The sequence below is a fragment of the Homo sapiens genome, chromosome 14 (assembly GCF_000001405.40).
Source record: "Homo sapiens chromosome 14, GRCh38.p14 Primary Assembly".
NCBI classification, from domain to species: domain Eukaryota; kingdom Metazoa; phylum Chordata; class Mammalia; order Primates; family Hominidae; genus Homo; species Homo sapiens.
The window spans coordinates 23,167,462-23,193,556 of NC_000014.9; the positions used below are offsets into that span (position 1 = coordinate 23,167,462).

General features: G+C 43.6%; 2 protein-coding genes across 5 annotated transcripts in view, besides 1 other annotated feature; one reads left to right on the forward strand and one right to left on the reverse strand.

Annotated features, from left to right (window-relative positions):
• SLC7A8 (solute carrier family 7 member 8) overlaps positions 1-16,199 on the reverse strand; it is a 58,366-nt gene extending 42,167 nt beyond the window's left edge. Inside the window, exon 1 of the mRNA NM_012244.4 lies at positions 15,303-16,199. Within this exon, the coding sequence (NP_036376.2) occupies positions 15,303-15,453 (151 nt within the window). The 5' untranslated portion in view covers positions 15,454-16,199. The remainder of the gene's footprint in view (positions 1-15,302) is intronic.
• Positions 4,573-5,074: an enhancer, noted in NCBI's record as "H3K4me1 hESC enhancer chr14:23641243-23641744 (GRCh37/hg19 assembly coordinates)". NCBI's record gives its function as "activates a minimal SCP1, AML or CMV promoter by ChIP-STARR-seq in naive H9 embryonic stem cells {active_cell/tissue: H9 hESC(naive)}" and the evidence as "EXISTENCE:reporter gene assay evidence [ECO:0000049][PMID:30033119]".
• Positions 16,200-17,874: 1,675 nt separating the features above from the next.
• The window catches only part of RNF212B (ring finger protein 212B), an 88,142-nt gene continuing 79,921 nt past the window's right edge, over positions 17,875-26,095 (forward strand). For all 4 annotated transcript variants that reach the window (NM_001370218.3, XM_011536323.3, XM_011536316.3 and 1 more), the window contains exons 1-2: positions 17,875-18,029; positions 25,864-25,940. The gene's annotated coding sequence lies outside the window, so the exon portion shown is untranslated. The remainder of the gene's footprint in view (positions 18,030-25,863; positions 25,941-26,095) is intronic.

Consider the following 26,095-nt stretch of genomic DNA (forward strand, 5'->3'; position numbering starts at 1 on the left):
CAATCTTTCCACTAATCCACTTCTGCTTGTGTGCAGGGGCTGGTTTTCTCCTGAGAGGTGAGGCCCGCAGCCGGTACTGAATGGCTAGCTGCTGGGTTGTGTGTTACGCAGACGAGGAGTAAGAGTGTGGAGGCCGTTCCTGACATGCTTCCTCCCAAATGTTCCTCTGTCCACTTCTTGTGGTAAAAGAGGTCATCGGGGTCCATTGAGTGGGTGCTTTGAAAGTGCTGCTTCATGCTCTGCCCAGCTGCACTGCTAAATGCCTGAGGAAAGGAGCAGAGACCAAATGGATCCAGGTGGAAAGGCAGAGCTAGAGTATCCTGAGGTCAGCTGGATTTGACTGTGTTCTAAGGACATCTCAAGCCTCCGTGATCTCTCTGTAGTGGTCTGGAACCAGTGAGATGGAGATTGTAAGGTGCTACGCTCAGCTTTTAAAAACTGATGGTCAGATCTCAACCATAACTCAACCTCAATCTAGCCCTGAGACTGAAATATAGGATCAGAGGGCACAGGCTGAAGTTAGATGCAGAGGAAAAGGAAGCACATATTTGTCTCAAATATGTCTTCCTAATTTTGGTGCTGGGAGTCTTTCCCAACAGAACAGGGCTGCTTACAGAAATGAAACTAAGAGAAATAATTCCTCATCATCAAATTAGTGATAATAATTATCAGGCAAAGAGAAGATAGAAAAAGGAGATTCTGAGTGCCACCAATCCTTTACAGACTTTTCCTCTTCTTGTAAGTTTATGTAAAGTTCTATGATAGGACAACAGGACATCTTTCAGCCCTCCTCTCTCAGACAGTCCCCATATGCTCTATTCAGAAGTACTGGGTTAGCAGGGACTACAAAACCTGCTTGTAGTATTCCAGGACTTTGGACACGTTCCCCCTTCCAGTGATTCTTCCCCTGCCAAACTGCTGTTCTCTGGACAATATCAAGTGCTGGGAAATGAGAGATCTAGAGACAGGTTTGCTAATAGTGCTGAAAGATGATAGTAAATTCCTTGCCTAGCAGGAAGTTATCAAAAGAGCGATCCATAGGGAATTTCAAAGCCAGCCAAGACTACAGCAATAAAGCTAGGGTTATAAAACCAGCTCAAGGAGTTAGAAAAACAATCAATAGCAGCAGAAAAACAAGGTTTGACTTTGGTCTTTAAGGTACTGAAAAGGGAGGAGTGTATAGCTAGGTGCTTCTTAGAGCCAAGAATGGCTGTTGCAAGAGGGAAAATGAGGATGGGTGTTATTTAATAGATCCCATCTTCTCAGGAATGAAGAGTGTCAGTGTTCCACTAAGGGTTCGTAGAAAACAAACACTGCAGCAGGGATCAGTAAGTGCTTCTCTTCTGTTTTCACTCTGACATTTCGAGTATGTTCCCTTGTTCTAGGCCACAGGAGCCACTGGAAGATGGGACATGCAACACTAACTGCCCACTTCTTGCCTTTGCTTCTTGGAGGCCCCAACCTTTAAGAACTCTGGCAGAGAGCTGCCAGAGTGATTGCGAGGGTCACAGTAGATCGGCATTGGAATAAGAGTCCTCACTTCATAAAAATTGGGTTTCTGCCCCCAAAACCTTATTTTTGACCAAATTAAAATTACAAAGATAGGCCAGGCATTGGTGGCTCATGCCTGTAATCCCAGCACTTTGGGAGGCTGAGGCAGAAGGATCACTTCAGTCCAGGAGTTCGACACCAGCCTGGGCGATATAGGGAGATCCTATCTCTAACAAAAAAATTTTTTGTTTTTTAATTAGCCAGACATGGTGGCATGCGCCTATAGTCCCAGATACTAGAGAGGCTGAGGTGGGAGGACTGCTTGAGCCTGGGAGGGCGAGACTGCAGTGAGCTGTGAGTGCACCACTGCACTCTAGTGACAGAGCAAGACCCTGTCTCAAATAAATAAATAAATAAATAAAATTACAAAGATAAAAGCTAAAAAAATATTGAGCTACACTAGTATAAACTAAGTGCTAGGGAACAGCCTGTCGCCCAGGCTGGAGTGCAGTGGCACGATCTTGGCTCACTGCAACCTCTGCCTCCCAGGTTCAAGTGATTCTCGTGCCTCAACCTCCCCAGTAGCTGGGATTACAGGTGTATGCCACCACACCTGGCTGATTTTTGTATTTTTAGTAGAGATGGGGTTTCACCATGTTGGCCAGGCTGGTCTCGATCTCCTGACCTCAAGTGATCCACCCGCCTCGACCTCCCAAAGTGCTAGGATTACAGGTGTGAGCCACTGCGCCTGGCCTACCATCTCCAATTTATAGGGGAAGAAAGTAGGACAATTATTATTCCTATTTTTCAAGTGGGAAAAATGACGGTATTATTATCCCTATTTTATGGATGAAGAAACTGAGACCTAGAAAGGCAGTTATTTGCCTAAATCATAGGGTGAGTTTGTTGTAGCTGGACCGGAAGCTAAATCTTCTGTCACAGCCTCCAGCTTTTCCCTGATAATAAAAGGTCTTCCTAATACACTGGGGTCAGTCTTCTATGCTGTACTTCATAGGCAATGGGAATGGTTCACAGGAGGCACTTATTGAAGAGTTGGAACACAGATCTGATTCCTTCCTTCTATTGCAGTACCACCTTCAGTGGGGATTTATAAAACATTGATATCCATTACCTTACTTGATCTCCTAAGTACTTTCTTAGGTGCAGAGGGCAGGTCATATCATTCCTATTTTACCATTGCAAAAACTGAGGCTCAGAGAGGTGAAGGGACTTTATCAAAGTCATGCACTGCATAAGTAGCAAGGCCTGGATGAGAAGCTAAGTCCTTGGACTCCTGGTCCAGACTTTCCTCCATGATTCCATGCTGCCTCCCCTCTGGAAACTGCACAACAGACACTTTTCCAGTTGGGCTTTTCAACTTGGACACTGTCTAAGTGAGACTTTCCTGGAGTGGCTTTGAAAAAGACGAACTGGGAAAAGGCTTTTCTACTTTGACTATGAACCTACCTATCTTCCTTCCTTCCTTCCTGTCTCTGTTTCTTTCGTTCTTTCTTTTTTTTTGTTTTGAGACAGTCTCACTCTGTCACCCAGGCTGAAGTGCAGTGGTGCGATCTCAGCTCACTGCAACCTCCGCCTCATGGGTTCAAGCGATTCTCCTGCCTCACCCTCCCGAGTAGCTGGGATTACAGGCGTGTGCCACCATGCCAGGCTAATTTTTGTATTATTAGTAAAGATGGGGTTTCACCATGTTGGCCAGGCTGGTCTCGAACTCCTGACCTCAGGCAATCCGCCTGCCTCGGCCTCCCAAAGTGCTGGGATTACACGCTTGGCTGTGGGTCTCACCACTCTTTCACCCAAGCTGGAGTGCAGTGGTGTGATCATAGCTCACTGCAGCCTCAAACCCCTGGGCTCAAGTGATCCTCCTGTTTCAGCCTCCCAAGTAGCTAGGACTATGGGTGTGTGCCACTATACAAAGCTAATTTTTATGTTTTTCGATGGGGGGAGGGGGTCTCACTATGTTGCCCAGGCTGGTCTCGAATGCCTGGCCTCAAGTGATCCTCCTGCCTTGGCTTCCTAAAGTGCTGAGATTACAGGCACGAGCCATCCTGCCCGGCCAACACACGTTTCTTGATGAGATATAGGAAGAAAGTTGATTACTGTGGGTTTTTTCCTCCAATGTTTTAGCTTAGACTCATTGTCTGTAAAGCCACTTAGAATGAGACGCACATCCGTCTGGTATTGCTGAGGTACTCAAGGTTAGAGTTTTAGTCCTGCTTCTATCCTCCCCAACTAATAAAGTAATCATCTTATCACGCAGATCTTCTTTAGTGAAGAATGAATTCTAGGATGCCTGGACAATGAAACCCAGTTTGGCTTGTTCTGTCAAAGAAAAACCAAGCAAATCATTTCATTAAAAAGGAGCCATGTTGTCTCAATGGGCAAGTCTTCACTAGAAAAATTGCCGGAATTGAGAAAACCCACATTTGCCGTGAATAATCACTAACTCCCCCATCTGTAGACCAATACCCATGTGACTCCCATTAAAGCATTACTCACATCTAGGCTTGTCCACACGAGAATGTTACAGCCATCAAAGAATTTCCTAAGGCATAGAATTACAGAGTTCTGATGCCCAACAGACCCTCAGATCCAAAAGGCTTTGGCCTTCCTTACTCATGCTAGCCTTGAAATCTAGCCACAGCCTCCTCCTGGGGCTTCGAGGTTTTGGCCATTTCCATGATGTCCAGAGAAAGCTAGGTGAACCTGCTTTGTGTTTCTTCCACAAAGTGGCTGAGAGGATCTCAGAGCTTTTCAGGACTAAGGGAACAGCGTGAAAGCAGGTCTGGCATGTGGGGCCCAGGCTTTGATCTTCACGCCAGGCCTGGAAGCTCACCATGCCTCTCACCCTGTTTACACTTTCCCATCGGGACTGTACAAACAGCTCCTCAGGGGTGGTAGCAGGTCAAGACTCTGACACATGCCCTGAGGAGTCAACATCTTCTGCAGATTGAGATGTGGAAGTCACTGCAGAACACTGCTCTTCTGGATTTCTTATTGAAAGCATGAAAAGGGCACTAGACTTAGAGCTGGAGGAGAAACTTTGTCCCTGCTTTGCTATGTGACCTGAATTTTTCTGAAAATCAGTCTCTTCATCTGCAGAATGGGAGTAATTGTTCCTGCCCTGCCTACCTCAACAGGGTTGTTGTGGGGAATCAAGGGAGAGGTTACATGTGAGGCACTTTATGATTTGTGAAACGCTAACAAATGTAAGGAATGGCTAGGATTTGTAGCAGTAGGGACAGAGACCAGCCCTAGAAGAATTCAATGGACTTGCTTTGGAGGCTTGGCTCCAAAACAGCACTGTACAGCCAGGACTGTGAAACATTCTCTGAGTCATTTGTCTGCTGGTCTAGGTGTAATTTGTAGATGCCGCAGGTGGGCGGGCAGCAGGTAATTGCATCTCAAAAGGTATTTATTGAGCGCCCACTCTGTACATGCTTGTTTTGGGAGGTAATTGGGAAACACTTGTTCACACATGGACTTTTAATGAAACGGATGGAGCCAACTACCAGCTACTGAAAGACAGGCATCGTAGCCTGGGGGTGGTGGGGGGCTGAGTGTTGCGCCCTCAAATAAGCCCATGAAGGACCCACATCTTGCCTCCAGCATTCCCGGCCCAACTGGGGAGCCAGGCATCCACAGTGAGAGGCTTTGTCTTCCTTGGTGGTTTTCAACTGAGAACAACTTGTCTACCACCTCAAGAAGACAGCTGGCCGTATCTGGAGACACTTTTGGTTGTCACAATGAGGGTGGGAGAGCTACCAGCACCTCGTGTGCAGAGGCCAGTAACACTGCTAAACATCCTACAATAGACAGGATAGCTTCCCACAACAAAGTATCTGGGCTTCATTGAAGTTTGAAGGTAGAACAGGGCTTCTCAACCTCAGCACTGTTACTTTTGGTTAAGCTCTAATCCCTTTCAAATTTGAGCCTGGATGATTTTTTTTTTTAAAGCTAAGCCCAAAAATGTAGTATTCATGGGAATAACTCATTTTTAAACAGAACAAAATTTTCATTGTGGTAAAGACACGTAACAAAATTTACCATCTTAACCATTTTTAAGTCTATAGTTTAGCAGTGTTAAGTATATTCACATCGTTGTGAGGCAATCTTGAATAATGATTTGTTTTTGACTGACTGCTATTATTCAATACTCACCATGTACTAGGTTATAGGATGTGAAAGTGAGACACAGTGCCTGGTTTCAAGGAACTGTGTGGAAAGGGAAGACACATGTGCACAGACACAGAACTGATACCACCACGCAGAGCAGAAGCTGCATGAGGGCTATTGCAATATATGGCAAGATTTTAATGGGTGGAAAAAAAATCACTGGCATGGGCTGTTCAGAAAAGTCTTCCTGGGAGAGGGGAGTGTCAGACTGATGCTGATGAGTGAGTAGACTCAGCTCAGCAAAGAGAAAAGGAAAAGCAACCAGCTGGTTGCTAAGCAGATCAGACTTGGCCTGAAATGGTCAGTCTTCTTACTGGATCAGTCCAACTGAAATTTCAGAACCAAAATTATTGAGTTTGTGAGTTGGGGGTGGGAACCACTAATCATCAATGGTTCCCCCCATTCTACAACATACTGATGCACTCTGGTATCTTCCAATAAATATTCATTTCTTTCTCTCCTCGAGTTAAAGGAGTGCAAGGGCTTTGTTTTATTTTTTAAATTTTTACTTTTTTTTTTGAGACAAGGTCTCACTCTGTCACCCAGGCTGGAGTGCACAATCACAGCTCACTGCAACCTCTGCCTCCCAAGCTCAAGCAATCCTCCCACCTCAGCCTCCCTAGTGCTGGGACCACAGGCGTGTGCCACCCCACCCGACTAATTTTTAAATATTTTGTAGAGGCAGGGTCCCACTGTGTTGCCCAGGCTGGTCTTGAACTCCTGGATCCAAGTGATCCTCCCACCTCAGCCTCCCAAAGTGCTGGAATTACAAGTATGTGCCACCCCACCTGGCCAGCTTTGTTTAAATACTCCACAAGAAACTTCCATTGCACAGCTAAGTAAACTGATAATTAGCTTGCTCAAGATTACAAAGATTGTAAATAGGGAAGCGGTTTGCAAACTTAAGACTATCTCTAAAGCCCATCTTTTTCTAATCAGTGGTTCCTCCCAGTCTATGGCATGCCGATGCAAATCATGGAAAAATTCACTCTAAACTTTCTGCTTTCAATATCAGGGTCCAAATACCACCTTAAGTCAACCTGACCTGTCTTTATCAGCTGCTTACTAAACACTCTCTGCAGAACTGTACTCTTAAAAAGCACTGAAGTATTTGTGCATTTCCTAAATGTACAAACAAGCACCTTTAAAACGTGGAGACAGATGAGAAAAGTAATAATTCTGCAGCAGTGGTACTCTTTCTGAGTAATCTGCTTTTGCAATGTGCAGTTCAGTGTGAGGTTGCCTGGTCCACCTTCAGACATTGTGAAACCTTCTCCCCAGAAGTGATGTCACTGCTAATGCTGAGGATATTTAAAGCAGGGAGCAAACCAATGGGAAGACATGTGACTGTGACAAAGATGAGGGATGAGATGTGATCAATAGAGCTTTTCAGCTCAAACTTCACTCATTCTATAAATAAAACAGCTTAAAATAGACTTGAGGGATTATTTTGCCTCCTAGAAATAAAATTCACCAGTGCTCAGGACAAGGCCTAGAATATAATGTGCTCGGTGAGTGTTTGTTAAAATGTGGAATAATTCTGAATCCTATGTCCAGCTGCTCCCACTCCTGCAGCAGAGAGGAGCCTGCAGTTTGCCATTTCCAGATCTCCAGGGAGAAGGGATCTGGGGGCCTGCTCTGTAGACGCGTTCTGGAAGGGGAAAGAAGGCATGGTCCTCCATGCTCTGTATGCTCAGCGGGGAGTTAAACATTGGAAAGAAACAGTTTCTAGCCCCCTGGGTTCCTGAATGGCTCTTATTTTCTGTAGTTTGGGATATACTCCTGGGATCATTTGCATGTGCCTGCTTTTCTAGATCCATCTCCCTCTCCTACAATAACAACAAAACAACAACAGACATTCCTGAGGCATTTCTTTGAAGGCAGCTGTGCTGCTGGATTACCCATCAAAAAGACAGAAAACCTCAGTAGCCTGGCAACTTGAGAAGCCCCAGCCAAGATGCCCCACACCTCTACCCCACTTCAATAAGCTGATTTAACTCAGAAAAGTGTATATATGGTGCTGGCCGCTCTTGAGAAGGTTATTTGGTTTGGGTACAGTGGTGTTTTGTGTTTGTTTGTTTGTTTGTTGTTGTTTTGAGACAGAGTCCTGGAGTAAGCAGTAGTGCAACTTGGCTCACTGCAACCTCCATCTCCTGGGTTCAAGCAATTCTCGTGCCTCAGCCTTCGAAGGAGCTGGGACTACAGGAATCTGCCACCACATCTGGCTAATTTTTGTATTTTTAGTAGAGATGGGGTTTCACCATGTTGGCCAGGCTGGTCCCGAGCTCCTGACCTCAAGTGATCCACCCACCTTGGCCTCCCAAAGTGCTGGGATTACAGGCGTGAGCCACCGCACCCGGCCGGTACAGGGTGTTTTTAACTGTGACTGTTTAAAATGGCTGTCTGGTGTGTCTCTTGGACATAGTTTCTTACCTGCCGGGTTCCTACTTTCTTTCCTCCACTCTAAGCATCTCCTGCTAGTCAGTCATTCTGCGTAACTCTGCTCTTTGAGGGAATGTATTATCGCCCTGACAGTAGCAGATTCAACCAAATTACTCCTTTAGCTCTCTGGTTCCTGGAGTCAGGAAGTGTCCAACAGGATCCCTGGTCCCGGCCACCTTGCACTCCAGACTGAGGAGCATTTTAGTTAAGCCCAGTTGCTTCAGATTTTAGTGACCTTGGTGGGAATCTAGGCTCTACCATCACCTAGCAATGTATGCTCAGTAAATGGCAGCTACTTATTATTATTACATTGCTGGGCATATAGCCTTTCCCTACTCACCAAGATGTGTTTGTTTTGAAATACCTCCTAGCTGGCTTCTGTCCCAGAATTTTATTTGAGAACAATGAGGGTTTTAATCACATTTTCATCCTGAATGAACCAAATCGTAATCCCTCTATGTTTTGTGTGAGTGTATTTGTATTTTTTAATTGAAGTACAAACTCAAGAAGCAGTTTTCACACTCCCTCCCTCTGGTCAACATCCAGTAGACATTTTTGGGATTAGAAGCTAATACATCATATTAGAGACTAAAATGCAAAATCTTCTAAAGTGGTATAGACCACATGGGTGTGAGATCTTTTATACTTGAAATTTTTCCAAGTCAGTCCAGAGCCATTTCAGTACAGTTATACCCATAGCCACACCTCTCTGTTGACAGAAACCCTTAAAATTTTTTCCCCCAATTTTTTCAGTATCAGACATCCGTGGTCTTTCTGGACTCCAGTCTCAGGGTTGTCTTCCTCCATGGCCAACTGCCCCACCATGCAATATATATCAGCCTCCTCCTGTCTTGGTTACCAATTAGAAATGAGAAATGGCTAAGTGTTCTGGCTATGGAGTCATCTCAGTTATCAGTGGTGTGACCCTAGGAAAATTAGCTACCAGCTCTGTGACTCAATTTCCCCATTTTTAACGTACAGGTAATTATAATAAGTACTGTCTTAAGATTGTTGGGAAGATTGAATAAAATAATATATGTAAAGAGCTTATAGCTCAGGAATTGGCATTTAGGCTGGGCGCGGTGGCTCACACCTATAATCCCAGCACTTTGGGAGGCCAAGGCGGGCAGATCACTTGAGGTCAGGAGTTCGAGACTAGCCTGGCCAACATGGTGAAACCCTGTCTTCACTAAAAATACAAAAATTAGCTGAGCGTGGTAGCTCGCGCCTGTAATCCCTGCTACTCAGGAGGCTGAGGCAGAAGAATCACTTGAATCTGGGAGGGAGAGGTTGCAGTGAGCCGAGATTGCCCCACTCCACTCCAGCCTGGGCGACAGAGCAAGACTCTGTCTCAAAAAAAAAAAAAAAAAAAAAATTGGGATTTAGTAAGAGCTCAATAAATACTATTTTAAAAAATCATGTTAGTTGGGAGATAGTGGTCTAGTAGCTAGATCAGCATCCAGTATTGTTCTGTAGCAAATATACCAAGATCCCCCAAAAACATAAATTGTGCTGAAAACAAAATGGTCTGACATTATATACTTTTTAATTTTATTATTACAGCTCTCTGGCCAGCTTTTTCACCTTTGTTAAGTTTAGCTGAAAGCTGCCTCCTTACATATTTTAAATTCCACTTAAAGATTTCTCCATATGTAGTGAAACGTAACCTAACTGGATGTGTAAATAGACTGTAACCTACTTTTGTACCATTCACTGAGTTTCAGCCAATCAAAGGCAGCCAACTGTCCAACCCTTGTTCAAATAAGGAAAATGTAGAGCTGTAACTAATCAAGCTGTTTCTGTACCTTGCTTCTATTTCCTGTATGTCACTTGCCTTTTTCTGCCCATAAATCTTCTTCGACCATGAGGCTGCCCCAGAAACTCTGAATCAGTTCTGGTTCAAGAGGCTGCCTGATTCACAAATTGTTCTTTGCTCAATTAAACACTGTTAAATTTAATTTGTTTAAGGTTTTCCTTTTAATGCCTTCAAGACACAGATTCTGGTTACATACCTAGATACGTGACTGGTATAAAGTACCTAAATGGCCAGGAACTCTGTGGGTACCTCTAACACGGCTGGGAAGAACACTGGTCCATAAAGGAAAGGTGTGCATGTGCAGGAATGAATGCGAGCATGGTCTGTGCTGGCCAGATGCCCCTCAGGCTCACCCAAGTCTTCCTGCAATTGCACCGGGAATATTACTTTCTTCCACTCCCAGCTGACAGCCCAGCTCCCCTGCTATACTGGGAGTCTTCCTCACTGGGAACACAAAATTAATTGCTATACAATAAGTATTCATTCATCTATAAAAATGAATAAGGACCTCTGTCCAGATTCTAAAAGAAAATACTCCTTTAGGAGATAAAAATAGAAATAGTGAAGAATAATGCTTACAAGCTTGATTCAGGATGCAGACAAGCTCTGGGTTTGAATCCTAGCTCCAATATTTTTTAGTTGTGTGACCTTCAGCAAAGTTGCTTACCCCTTTGAGCCTTTATTTCCTATCTGGAGGAAGAGGTAATAAAGTGTCTACCAAATGAGTTACTGTGAATGACAAATAAGTTCAGGTATGTTAGGTAATTGGATGAGTACCTGGCATATACTAAGTGTTTAATAAACACAGCTATTAACAGTAGCTCTGGTATCATTAATAAATGAACTTTGCTGTCCTCCGCACCCTCTTTCGACTTTGGGGGGAACTCCACGTTCATGGTGAAATCTAAATTAATATGCTGCCAACAGGTTTCCTTAGCCAAGTACATGGAGAACAAAAGCCTGATTAGGTTAGGACAAGGATGATGTTAAAAGATTAAAATGGGCCAACCTAATTGTCCAGGTTGATAAAACTACTCCTAGCTTAAAGATTTTCAAGCCAGGTTCCCAGCAGCCCTGCAGATAAATGTTTCCTATTCATATTTTTGTCCTAGAGTCGGTTAAATTCAACAATCATTTGAGTAAGTATTCCTTAGCAGGCATTCTGTTAAACACTAAAGATTCAGAAACATATAAGACACTTGCTTTTTTTTTTTAAGAGGCAAGGTTTTGTTGGGCACGGTGGCCCACACGTGTAACCCCAACACTTCGGGAGGCTGAGGCAGGAGGATTGCTTGAGCCCAGGAGTTCAAGATAGCCTGGGCAACATAGGGAGACCCTGTCTCTAAAAAAAATTAAAAATAATTTTAAAAATTATTAAGCTACTTGGGAGGCTGAGGTGGGAGAATTGCTTTCGAGGCTGCAGTGAGCTATGATTGCACCACTGTACTCCAGCCTGGTTAACAGAGTGAGATCTTGTCTCCAAAAAAAAAAAAAAAAAAAAAAAATGAAGATGAGGTCTTGCTCTGTTGCCTAGGCTGGCTTGAAACTCCTGGGCTAAAATGATCAAGGAGATGGGACTACAGGTATCCACCACCACACCTGGCTCAATTTTTCTCATAGTTCAATTTTTTTTTACGGACACAATCTTTGATCTAGGAAATAACAGTTTAGTCATTATGCTTTTACCTAAGAAAACTCCCAGAATCAGCTCCCCTACTTCATCTTCTCCTCAAAGCCTTCAAGATGCTTCTTAATCTAGTTCTTAGTAAGAACCTCTCTCTCCTGGCTTCCCACCATTCACATAACTTTGCCCTACTTTAGCTCTTTCACAACTAAACCATGTCATTAATTTTGAATGTTCTCTGTTTAGTACATATGCATCTCATCCTCCCAATCAGGATATAAGGAACTCTCTGGCATAAGTCTTCTATTAATTCATTGTATATTTCCATAACACCTACCATTCTGTTATCCTTGCTTTCAATCATCCATGTTGATTGTGAATGAAATTTTACAAAACATGTAGTTTAAATTATCCCTCTTAGTCAGTAAGGTATGAGAGAGATAGATTTAGGGCAAATGTAACTTTGCCACAGTCCCTGAAAAAAAAAAAAAGATCTGGGGGCCGGGCACGGTGGCTCATGCCTGTAATCCCAGCACTGATAGGCCGAGGTGGGAGGATTTCTTGAGCCCAGGAGTTGGAGACCAGCCTGGGCGATACAGTGAGACCCTGTTTCTACAAGAAAAAATTTAAAATAGCTAGGTGTCGTGGTGTATGCCTGTGGTCACAGCTACTGAGGAAGCTGAGGTGGAAGGATCGCTTGAGCCCAGGAGTTTGAGGCTGCAGCGATGCAGTGAGCACGCCACAGCACTCCAGCCTAGGCAACACAGCGAGACACTGTCTCAGAAAAAAAAGAAAGAAAGAAAGAAAGATGGGACAAATTCTACTTTTCCATAACATGTCTCCTGATTCACTTAGAAAACTTCCTTTCTCTTTTTGACTTTTTTTTTTTTTTTTTGAGATGGAGTCTCACTCTGTCACCCAGACTGGAGTGCAGTGGCGCAACCTTGGCTCACTGCAACCTCTGCCTTCTGGGTTCAAGCAATTCTCCTGCCTCAGCCTCACGAGTAGCTGGGACTACAGGCATGCGCCACGACGCCCGGCTAATTTTTTGTATTTTTTAGTAGAGACGAGGTTTCACCGTGTTAGCCAGGATGGTCTTGATCTCCTGACCTCGTGATCCGCCCGCCTTGGCCTCCCAAAGTGCTGGGATTACAGGTGTGAGCCACCGCACCCGGCCCTTTTTTTGCCTTTTAGTTCTCTTTTTTTCTGCAGTGTTGACATTGGACACCAGATCCCTGAAATCTACACAGAAAATGCCATTTCTATTTTTGCATTTGGTCTTGAAAACACTTGAATCACGATCATCCACTGAGAAACTTCTCCAGAAGAGGAAAGGGCAGTTCCTCAGCACATCTGTGACTCAACAGCAACTCGGGAGGGGAAGCAGAATGGATTTTGTCCCCTGTTATCATCTTAAAGGGGAAATTTGTTTCTAGCTTAAGTTGGGGTAGAATAGTGCCTATTAACTCTACAAGGATTCTCATGTTTTGCAAAAATATCCCAATTTCTCTGAAATCACATATTTGGAATCTCTTTTCATCACAGAACACCAGAATTGCCATTCTAGTTACTGTAATGCCACCATGGGGAGCTTTGAGATTATTCTCCCATTGAAGTACCATCCATAAGGTTGTGGACAAATCAGTAGTAACATATACCCACAGAAATTGTACTTATTATACCTGAACACTCCCATTTCTTCATAATCTTAGAAAAAGATGTTAAAGGAAGAGACAAAAACATCAGTATATAGGAAAATACCCTCTACCCTTGAATACCTGAACCTGGAGATCGAGACCATCCTGGTTAACACGGTGAAACCCCGTCTCTACTAAAAATACAAAAAAAATTAGCAGGGCGTGGTGGTGGGCGCCTGTAGTCCCAGCTACTCGGGAGGCTGAGGCAGGAGAATGGCGTGAACCCGGGAGGCGGAGCTTGCAGTGAGCCGAGATCGCGCCACTGCACTCCAGCCTGGGCCACAGAGCGAGACTCCGTCTGAACAAAAAAAAAGAATACCTGAACCTATATTGGGAAGGGCGAGCCAGGCTGAGGCAGGAAGGATGTTTAATTGTGCTTGTGTGCCTGTGGGCGTGCGCATCTGTGTATAAGTCAGAACCTTCCTAGAGGGGGAAAATGCTTAATTCTGTCAGTCAAATTGGTGAACGGGCTATTTATAGACCTTAAACTGGCATGTGCTATACATACTGAATACTTGGCTGTTCTCATTTCTTTTGAACAATTGAGATAAAGTAAAGGAGAGGCAAAAAAAATGTCATGAGAAAAAGTAAAGAGAGATTCAGATCATGACTACAATTTTTCTTATAACATTATCTTTCTTATAACTGTAGATGGCCTGGAAAACTTCCCAGAGTCAGGGAATCACATAAAATAGGATTCCAGGGTGTAGGAGGAGTTGGTGGGGGTGGGGGGGGGATGGGATTTCATTTTAGAGACTGAAGAGAGCTTGGTCACTGAAGTTCTGGGTGTAGAGGTGAAGAGGATTATCTGAATACTGCACTGATTTTATTTGATTTCAAGAGTGCTCTCCAGTGTCACTATTGCTCAGATGCCAAAATATCTCTGAGCTATTGCATAGAACATGGCGTCAGCCAGAGAAACTGGTTCAGGGGCACCAGGACACAACGAGCTCTCATAAAGGAACTCTGGAGAGATGACAAAGAAGCATATCTATGCCTGACCGTCCTGCACTCCTTTTTCTGGGAAGAAAGTAAAGCCCCCTACCAAAGATAGCAGAACAATCTCTCACTCTGAAGTGAGGGCAGGAATAGTGAGCTATTGCCTGCCATCCATCTCCAAGGCTTCTCTGGAAAGAGGATGTGCTGTCTAGAGACGAAGCTGTATTTGGGACTCCTGCCCTGCAAAGTACATTCAGGGGGTTTGAGTGGCCTGCACTGGCACTCTTGGGGCCACCCAGGTTCCCCACCTTCAGCACCTCCCAGCTAGGACACATATTTTACCCATCAGTTCCTCCTCAACTCCATATTCTACACATTCTAGTTACTCCTGATTCCCTCTGAGAGCTTCACCGGGTCCTCCGTGGCTGTTAAGAAACAGGTGGACCCCACCAGGCAACTGGAGAAACTGCAAACTCTCCACTTACCGAGAGGCACAATCTGTCCCCTCTTTTCTTCCATAACTTCCCCATCTGTGAAATGGGAATAACAGCCCTGTCACAGCTACTTCACACAGTAAAAGTGCTGCATAAGGTGGAAAACGCTAAAATAAAAAGGCAGGGCATTGCTCTTGCTATTTTTAATACCTATCCCATAGTTTCATTTAACATAAAACTGCAAAATAGCTACCAAATATACCTTAAAAGCCCATCCCCAGCCTGGGAATAATAGCTGCATACAAACTTGTTCAGGTCCCTCAGTCCCTCCTTAAACCTATTGAACTAGAACCTCCAAGTGTCGAGACCAGGACCTGTATTTTTAAGGAGTTCCCAGGCAATGCTAATCATCAGCCGGGTTTCTGACCACGATTTGCTCCATTCTATGAACACTGGGCAGAATCTTTGCCTGGTTTGGAGGAAGAGATGTATGATGTATTTCCTATGCCTCTCAAACTTGACCAGTGGAGGTGAGTTACAGCTCAGGTGACTGACAATCCTTTTCTAAGGAATAGGAAGAACAATAATGCTTTCGAAGGGTTAAGATCTCACAGGAGGACCACCAGAGGGGAGAGGAGGGGTCCGCGGGAAGGAATGGAACTCACCTACGATGATACCACAGGCACTGACCAATCCGATCTCTTTCTTCAGGGCTACTCCGCCCCCTCCGGAACCAGCCTCGGGGCTGGCGTCCGACTCGCCCCCACCTGGGTGTTTCTTTTCGGTGTTGTTTCGGTGCCTGGCTCCTTCTTCCATCCTTCTCAGTAGGATTGCAACCTCAAAAGCTGCCTCCCTTTCTAAATGCGTATTCGTGTAAATATATTGGGAGAGAGCTTTGAATTAGAACGTCCTTTTCCGAAATAGGAACCACTGCTACTCTCTAAAAAAGGCAAGCAGATAAAAGAGAACACGAAAAATATTCCTACTCCGCATTCACACTTTCTGGTCACTCGCGTTTACAAACAAGAAAAGTGTTGCTAAAAAAAAAAAAAAAAAAAAAGGCCAGGGGAGACATACATTTAAATATAAAAATAGAACTGTGCCAGCGACTCCGGCTGGAATTCTGCTGAAAGGGATGTGTCTTCAGAAACCAGGATGGTTCTGCTCTGTGCACCAGGCAGTGGCTTATTCAGAAAGTGAGCCTGGATTTCCCTTCACCTCTCCCCCTAATAAAACAGGAGACTGCCTTTACCTCCCCTTAGTTTTTTCTTTTATGATGAAGACAAAAGTAGTTTTCATTAACGGTAGGAAAAAAGAGCAATCCTCAGGTACTTTCTTCTCTTCTAGAAAAACAAACTGTGAACCTGACGGTGTTGCTCTAGATCTGGTTTCCACCTGCTTTGGGTTTCTTTTCCCTTCCCCGTCTTCTGCTTCCGCCTTTCCCAGGTGTCCTCTTCTTTCTCGCTGGTCTTCGTGCCCTTGTTTTCCTCTTTTCGATCCCCGTTCTACTGCACAGCCGGCCCCATCCCTCTGGTTTCGGGAGAGTGGCTTCTCCACACACTAACGTGCTTCTCTTTAGCGAGGGGTTTTATTCGCCCGCCGAGGCTCCGCCCCTGCCTCCTCTGCTCCCCTCCATCCTCAGTCCCGTCTCCTCCCTCCTCTGCAATTTAAGTATTAGCACAAAGCCCCCAAACAGCACTGAGAAAATGGACTAAGTTATTTCTTTTTGCAATCGTCTCTCGCTTTCTCCATCTTTCTCCTTGCAACCAAGTGGAAGTAAACTCCTTCCACGTCAACTGTTCCGGGAGAGCTCATTAGCTAGTATAATGTTACAGGTCATACAGCATCTGTGAGCTTTATAAATCAGGGAACAGTTGTGCCGATACTTTTAATGCCATCAGAAATAAACTAGCCAATGTATTAAAAAATATTTAGGACTGGATCCTGTATTTGAGAATACAGGAGAGAACGTTGAAAGGACATCATCTTCGAGTTTCCTAAAAATAGGGGGAATCGACGGGTGGGGGAGGGAAATGGAAGGAATTAACAATGGGAAAAAGGTTCTTTTAGCGTAATTGTGAGCTACGAAGAGTACAGAGGAAACAAAATCGCCAGGCGCGGTGGCTCACGCCTGTAATCCCAGCGCTTTGGGAGGCTGACAGGGGAGGATCACGTGAGCCCAGGAGTCTGAGACCAGCCTGTGCAACAGAGCGAGACCCCGTCTACTAAAAATTTTAAAATTAGCCGGGTGCAGTGGTGCAGGCCTGTAGTCTTAGCTACTCAGGAGGCTGAGGCTGGAGGATTGCTTGAGCTCAGGAGGTCAAGGCTGCAGTGAGCTATGATGACGCCACTGCACTCCAGCCTGGGAGGTAGAGCAAGACCCTGTCTCAAAAACAAAACAAAACAAAAAGCCAGAAAAACCACATGCACATACAAAAAGATAAAAAACAAAATCACCAGGTAGCCTTGTTGTTCACAGCTCTTATTTAGGACTGGCTGAAACATGAAAAAAAATGACTCAAACCCTGATCCTGCAACTTCTAATATTTTTGCATTTATAAACTATTTGAAAAGCACACATGGGGAATTATCAGTATATCGCTGATCATGAAACATACTTGTTGATGTTAGAATAACTAGCTTATTACCATATCGAAATGATGCCTCCACTTTCTTGAAGAATTTCACTCAGAAACTGCTGCCTTAAGGTGAGAGCAACAATGTCTATTTATAATTGTAAATTATTTCGAAAAAACAGCATGAAGCAATATAGTGGACAACACTATAAGTCTAAAATAAAGTTATTTTTAGCCTTATTAAATATATTATGCAAAATTATTTAATTTTAAAGTGGGCCTAAAAAATTAAGTTCCCCCAAACTGACCCCTAACTACAAAAATTTGGCCTCACTTTCTGGAAAATGTTCCAAAAGATTTTGGGTTTTAAGGAAAATAAATACTTAATTCCTTAAAATGAGGTTTGTTGAGCTATCATAGCAAAAGCTTTTTCAAATGGGGTAAAGTCCAATCAGCAGTCATCTGCCCCCTTGATCACTCAGCAAGTATTAAGAGGTTTCAAAGGTTGGGAGGAACTTCCTCTCCTCCTTTTGCTAGTTCAAGACACAGCAAATTGAAAGACTCAGCAAAAAAAAAACAACAAACAACAACAAAAAAAACCAGACAAGGCAGGGAATATATAGCACGAAACTCCATGGGAGGGAATGAGTCATGGGAAATGAAAAAATGTCGAATTTGCCTCTAGCCTTTCCTGACAACCTTAGAAAGCACTGAGGAAAAATTTGATAGATTCATTTGTATACATTCAGATTTGAAGACTTCTGCTCCGATTTCAACATCACCATATAAAACAAATAATGTTTCTGCTTCTTAAACGTGAGTTCTTTCAGTAATATTTGGTAGTTCTAATTTATATGATGCAGACTTAATGTGGGATAAAACATGAATGTGATGAATTTGAGGTCTCTTGCTAAAACCAGTGCAAACTGATAACGATATGGTAAGCTTTAGCCCTCTCAAATTATGAACTAAGAAGCTAAGGGGGTTATGGGATCAAATACGTTCTTGGAATACAGCGGTACTAGGTGCACACGTTGGAAAGGAAGAGTTGCTGAAGATTAGTATTTCTATTTCTTTAGCACTTGGAATTTATAAGTGGCTTATTACCATTGATTACTGGTGCGATGTAATATCTAGGAAAGGGGCTGGGCACGGTGGCTCATGCCTGTAATTCCAGCACTTTGGGAGGCCGAAGCAGGTGGAGTGCTTGAACTCAGGAGTTCAAGACCAGACTGGGCAATGTGGTGAAACCCCATCTCTACAAAAAATACAAAAATTAGCTGGGTGTGGTGGCTCACGCCTGTAATCCCAGCTACTCAGGAGGCTGAGGTGGGAGGATCGTGTGAGCCATGGAGGTTGAGGCTGCAATGAGCCAAGATCGCACCACTGCACTCCAGCCTGGGTGGCAAAGTGAGACCCTGTCTTTAAAAAAACCAAACCAAAACAAACAAACAAACAAAGCTAGGAAAGGAATCTCCCCACTTTCAAAGGGAGCATTATTTATATTAAGTGCCTCTCTGTAGGTTGGAATCTTTTTGTGACATAAACTCTTAAGTGTGTCAAAATTCCAGGTGACTAACATTGAACACAAGAGAGAAAGAAAAGCCTTGGTGTAATATGTTGACAAAAATCTGTAAAAAATTACAAACTAATGTTTATTAAATTTTGAGCATTTTTTTTTTTTTTGAGAAGGAGTCTCGCTCTGCTGCTCTGGCCGGACTGCAGTGGTGCGATCTCGGCTCTCGGCTCACTGCAACCTCTGGCTCCTAGGTTCAAGTGATTCTCCTGCCTCAGCCTCCTAAGTAGCTGGGATTACAGGCACCTGCCACCATGCCTGGCTAATTTTTGTGTTTTTAGTAGAGACGGGGTTTCACCCTGTTGGTTAGGCTCGTCTTGAACTCCTAACCTTGTGATCCACCCGCCTCGGCCTCCCAAAGTGCTGGGATTACTCTATTCTGCATTTGCCTTTATATTTTTATTCTATTCTCTACGTTTAAATAGTGCTTTATAGCCCACAAATGGTTTTCTGAACAATATCTCAATTTTTTTCCTCCTCATGTAGTATCTTGGGCAGACGAGGCAGTTATCTTAAAGATTTTAAAAATTAGAAACCTGAGGCTTAAAGAAATATTTTACCTGAGGTAAAAAACAAGACAGTCTATTTGAGGGCAAATGGGAGATTGATAGTTTACACTGAGCACTTTTTCAGGATGCTATAGCTACTGGTCAAAGCCTCAATTTCTTTCACCTGAGGGAAACTCTGTGTTTTTGCTTTGGTGTCTTAACTGTGCCTTTTAGAGACTCACCTTGATCCTAACACTTATCTGCTCAGTGAGACCCACAGGACTTCACCTGGGCCCCCCCAACATTTGTCACCCCCTTCGCACAGTCCTCAGTGTGGCCATATCCCAAGTACGTAGTACAATTCTGTTTCCAATATCGGAGCCACTGTTTCAGCTGTTTTGCGTGCTTCAGATCAGAAGAAATTGATCCCTTTAACTAGGGAAAATTATGGATGAAAGGCCGTTTTCTTACAAATATGGATTTAGAAAGAGAAAGGCTGTGCGTAGCTGACACCTACTGGACAGAAAAGGTTATGGCTTGGGACATGCTGCTTGTGATAGTTAAAACACAAACACACACAACCCCCACGCAGTCATGTTCTAATATTCCCCTACTCCCCCCTTTTTTAGAGACAAGGTCTCACTCTGTCACCCAGGCTGGAGTGTAGTGGCACAATCACAGCTCACAGCAGCCTCAAACTCCTGGGCTCAAGTGATCCTCCCGCCTCAGCCTCCCGAGTAGCTGGGACTACAGATGTGCGCCACCACACCCGGGTTAATATTCCCTTTCAGAGACAAGTTAGACGTGTCTGCTAATGCAAAGGAATAGAGCACAAAGCTCATGCACTCCATTCCTGATTTTTTTTTCTAGATCCAATAGACAGCACTTTATTCTTGCTTTTTGTAACAGAGCTGGGAAGTCTGAGGTTACCAACAAAGGACCCAAATCTCTCCCTGGAGTCAACTCACAGTCCATGCGCTCACTCCATCCTTCTTCTCGTAACTATGTGCCCCATATCTATGTGCTTTAGTTTAAAGCAGAAGGAAACCCTGCTTTAAATTAAAGCCAACTTTCTTCCCAGAGTCCCAGGGATCACTGCCTATGGTCGATTAGATGGGGCCTTCCTGAGCCAGTAGTTTTAGATGCCTTTACTTCATTAGAAAATGAAAAGCAGATGAAAATTAATGAGAAAAGAAGAAAAAATTAAAAAAAGAAAAGGCCAAAATAGGTCAGAAAGAAAGGAAGATGAAATGAGGAGACTCGGTCAGTGATTAAGCCCTTTTTAGTGTATGCTCTGTTTGCCTTTTGGGCATATTCATAAGTTCAAAGGAAGTTGTGTCTTCTAGGGTTTATGCAGTCCTGAGAATTTGGATGCAGCTGACCCTGCTTTGTTATGATGGTTAATTAATTCAGCTCTTCTGGAGATAATGATGAATCCTTGCTCTGACACCAGAGACAAAAATTCCAACAGATTACTCCTCTGTCTGCTGCACTTGGTGGGATTCCATGGAGCCAGCCCAGCACTAGTGGGAAAGAAATAAAGAGGCACTGCCTGTGGCAGGCCAGATCTCCGCATTTTCTTGATTCTTTTGCTGGGTCCAATCTGTCATGGGGCCTTAACAGTCTTCTTTCTCAGGATTTAAGTGACTCCAGCTTTGAATACTTAAATATGGAAACTTCCCCTTCTTAATTGGTTTTCATTATGTTTGACAAAGATTAGGGTTTTTTTTTTTTTTTTTAGAGATAGGGTCTCACTCTCACTCTGTCACCCAGGTTGGAGTGCAGTGGTGTGATCACAGCTCACTGCAACCTTGAACTTCTGGGTTCAAGTGATCCTCCTGCCTCAGCCTCTCAAGTAGTTGGGACTACAGGTGCACACCACTATGCCTGGCAAATTTTTAAAAAATTTTTAGTAAAGATGAGGTCTTACTGCATTACCCAGGCTGATCTCAAAGTCCTAGCCTGAAGAGTTCCTCCAGCCTCAGCTTCCCAAAGTGCTGGGAGCCACTGTGTGAACCACTGTGCTGGGCCTCAGGTTTTTAAAGATGTAGATGACAAGTTCCCTGAGGGCAAAGACCTGCTTTGCTCACTGCTGTAACCCCAGTACCTAAAATGGTGCCTGGCACTCAATAAATATGATTGATTGAATGAATTAATGTATAAATAAATGTTGATGTACATTAATGCATAATAAATAAAATAATTACCAAATGACTCCTTGATATACCAACTAATTGTAGCAAGATGTAGCTGTTGGTGCCTGTACAGGGGCTGGAACACAGAGAAGAAAAAGACAATCAAGGTTTTGACTTTGAAGATTATTTTATACAGAGCACAGATCTCAAGCAGGCCCTTAACACTGCCAGCAATCCTACCACAATCTTGTAGTTAACTGACCTTTCCAATTACCTGCTCCTCTCTTCAAACCAATACCACACCCCAAATCTTCGCTTCTAGTTGACATCTTTGACTATTGTTTCATGGAGAAAATGGGAATAGGCAGAAGAGAACTTCCCCATGCTCCATTTACTAAATCTGTCAATCTACCTGCAGCTCTCCCCACATCCTCTGCCTTCCCTCCCATTGAAATGAATGTGCTGTCTGTGTTCCTATGTATCTCCCCTATTTGTGCACTAGCTTCCCTATCCTATCTCCCAAAGTCTCAAGACTTTGCTCTTGAAATTATTCTCTTCTCTCCTACATCATCAGTTTTTCACTGTCTCCTGGATTATTCCTGTCAGCATACAGATGTGCTGTAATAACTCCCATTGAAAAACAAACAGGCCGGACTGGGTGGCTCACGTCTATAATCCCATCACTTTGGGAGGCCAAGGCGGGAGGATCGCTTGAGTCCAGGAATTTGAGACCAGCCTGGGCAATATAGCAAAACCTTGTTTCTACTAAAAATTAAAAAAAAAAAATTAGCTGGGTGTGGTGGTGCATGCCTGTAGCACCAGCAACTCAGGAGGCTGACGTAGGAGGATTGCTTGAGCCACAGGGTTGGGGCTGCAGTGAGCCATGTTCATGCCACTGCACTCCAGCCTGTACAACAGAGTGAGTTCTTATCTGAAAATATGTGAAAAAATGAACAGAACTTCCCTTGATGCTCTATTCCTTTCAGCTACCACCCAACTTCTCTGCTCCCATCTCTACTTCCTCATCTCCATTGGTACTTGGAATTACCACATCAAAGCTTTTGTCCCCATCACCTTGTGGAATCCATTGTTGTCAAGGTCACCAACATCTACTCTATCAGTTGGACCACCGGTGGTCCAATCTAGCAATCATTTCTCAGTCTTTATCTTATTGATCTTACGGCAGCATGTGGCCAGCTAATGGCTCTGGAGCACCCACTCTCCTGGCTTCCCCCAACCTCATTTGTCTCTTTTTAGGCTCCTGGCTGGATCCTTTCCTTCTCCAATCTCTTCTCTTCTCTATCCTCCCTCTCTAGCTGTGTGATGTCATCCAGTCCCATGGCTTTCAGTAGCAACTCTATACTGATATTTTCCAAATTTATAGATCCAGTCCTAATCTCTTGCATAAACTCTAGAATGAGCTATCTAACCACCTAATTGATGTCTCTGTTTTGGGTGTTTAATAGGCACCTCTAGCCTAATATGCCCAAAAGAGAGTGCGTGCTTTCCGCTCCAAACCTGATTTTTGCCCAGTATTCCCCACTTTAGTAAATGGCGCTAGTTGGTCAGGCCAAAATATCTTGGAGTCAACCTTGACTTATCTTTTTCTCATATATCCTACATTTGGTTTGTCAGCCAATCCCTGTTAGCTGTAGCTTCAAATCAAATCTCGCAAATATCGAGAGACTGATCACTTCTTACCATTTCCACTGCTACCACCCTGGTTCATCACCGCTTCACCATCAGCTCTCACCTACACTGTTTCAATAGCCTTCTAATTGGTCTCCCAATTTCCACATGTTTCTCCTACAAATGTTCCCCTACACTTTATTCTCTACACGGCAGCCAGAATGATCCTTCGTAATCACAGATCAGGTCATGTCCCTCCCCTGTTCAAAACCCTCCAACGCTGCCTGTCACAGCTAACTAGAATCAAACCTGGAGGTCCTGGTGGCCACTTGGACTTCATACCCTTCTCTTCCTTTCACGTGGTCCTCCAGTCTCATAGGCCTCCTTCCTAGTCCTTGAACACTAAGCTCTGCCTCAGGGCCTGGTAGTAGCTGAAGCCTCCATCAGGGTCAGTCTTCCTGCAGACCGTCTTGGGGGTGTCCTCCCTTTCTCACATCATGCACATCCCTCTGCAAATATCACCTGCTCAAGGGGGACTTCTCTGACCACCCAATAGAAAGTCCATCGCAGGCTGCGCGCAGTGGCTCACTCCTGTAATCCCAGCGCTTTGGGAGGCCGAGGTGGGTGGATCGCCTGAGGTCAGGAGTTCAAGACCAGCCTGGCCAACAAGGCAAAACTCCATCCCTACTAAAAATACAAAAATTAACCAGGGCTGGTGGCGGTGCACACCTGTAGTCCCAGCTACTTGGGAGGCTGAGGCAGGAGACTCACTTGAACCCTGGAGGCGGAGGTTGTAGTGAGCCGAGATCGCACTGCACCCTGGGCGACAAAGTGAGACCCTGTCTCAAAAAAAAAAAAAAAAAAAAGCAAGAAAGTCCACCTCCATCCCATCACCTGTACCTTGCCTTTTATAATATCTGCCATTACTTAACATAATTTGTTTGTTTGTTTGTTCCTTGTTTGTCTTTCCTATTAAAATGTAAGCTCTGAACTATTGATGTTGTTAGTTGGTTTTTCTAGGGGGTAATGATATTACAGTTATTGTTAAAAAGTTTTATCTTTTAGATATATATGCCAATATATTTATGGATGAAATAATCTGATATCTTGGATTTGTTTCAAATAACATAGGAGGAAGAATAGAGGGAAGGATAGGTTACCAGTGAAAAGGCTGAGTTTATATTGTTTAAGTGGGATGATGGGTAATAGTCCATTAGACTGTCTTCTTTTGTATATGTTTAAATTTTTCTGTAATAAAAAACAAACAAAACCTTTGCTTGTTTCTTCACCATTATTTACCTAAGGCCTAGAGCAGTTCTTGGCATATAGAAGGCACTCGACAAATACATACTTATTCGATATTCATTGTATATTGAATCTTTGGGAGAGTAAAGGTATATTTTCAAGATAAATTTTATTCAGTTACTGTAAATTATTGGAAATCTAAATTCTTGTTTCCAAAGGAGGATTTTACAGAGTCTGCCCTTTCAGGCCATGCATTCAAGAATATTCTAATTAAAAAGTTAGGAAACAACAGGTGCTGGAGAGGATGTGGAGAAATAGGAACATTTTTACACTGTTGGTAGGACTGTAAACTAGTTCAACCATTGTGGAAGACAGTGTGGCGATTCCTCAAGGATCTAGAGCTAGAAATACCATTTGACCCAGCCATCCTATTACTGGGTATATACCCAAAGGATTATAAATCATGCTGCTATAAAGACACATGCACATGTATGTTTATTGCGGCACTATTCACAATAGCAAAGACTTGGAACCAACCCAAATGTTCATCAATGATAGACTGGATTAAGAAAATGTAGCACATATACACCAAGGAATACCATGCAGCCATAAAAAAGGATGAGTTCATGTCCTTTGTAGGGACATAGATGAAGCTGGAAATCATCATTCTCAGCAAACTATCACAAGGACAAAAAACCAAACACCGCATGTTCTCACTCATAGGTGGGAATTGAACAATGAGAACACTTGGACACAGGAAGGGGAACATCACACACCGGGGACTGTTGTGGGGTGGGGGGAGGGGGAAGGGATAGCATTAGGAGATATACCTAATGTGAATGACGAGTTAATGGGTGCAGCACACCAACATGGCACATGTATACATATGTAACAAACCTGCACTTTGTGCACATGTACCCTAGAACTTAAAGTATAATAATAAAAAAAAGAATATTCTAATTATGGGAAGGCCAGAAACTATAGTCACTAATTTGGTGATAACTATGCCTTTATGCCTTTAATTATCTTCATAAGACCAATTTTTTAAAAATATAGCTTTATGGCCAGGTGCGGTGGCTCATGCCTGTAATCCCAGCACTTTGGGAGGCCAAGGTGGGCGGATCACCTGAGGTCGGGAGTTTGAGACCAGCCTGACCAGCATGGAGAAACCCTGTCTCTAGTAAAAATACAAAAATTAGCCGGGCATGGTGGCACATGCCTGTAATCCCAGCTACTAGGGAGGCTGAGGCAGGAGAATCGCTTGAACCTGGGAGGTGGAGGTTGCTGTGAGACGAGATCACGCCATTGCACTCCAGCCTGGGCAACAAGAGAAAAACTCTGTCTAAAAAAAAAAAAAAAAAAAAAAAAAAAGAATGTTACCAGAATGGCACTGCCTTTCTCAGCAGCAATGCTATTATAGAAGTTTAAATGGAGCAATGTCTTCAAAATTGAGAAGGAATATGATTTTCAACTCAGAAAATTATACATAGCCAAAGTATCAATCAAAAGTGGGTATAAAATAAAATCTCTATCAAAATATAAGATCTCACATTTACCTCTCTTGTGTTCTTTTTCAGAAAGCTGTTGGAGAATGTGCACCACCAAAATAAGGGAATAAGTAAAGGAGGAAGAAGACCCTGAGTTCAGGAATAAGGTACCACAACTAGAGACAGTCAAAGAGAATTCCTAGGATAAGAGGGTGAATTAGGACCAGACAGCCACCCCTCCAGAGGGAGGGCAGAATGGAGGACTCAAGAGGATGTCTCCCAGAAAATAAAAATGCAGCTGAGGATTACTTGATGTTTGGCA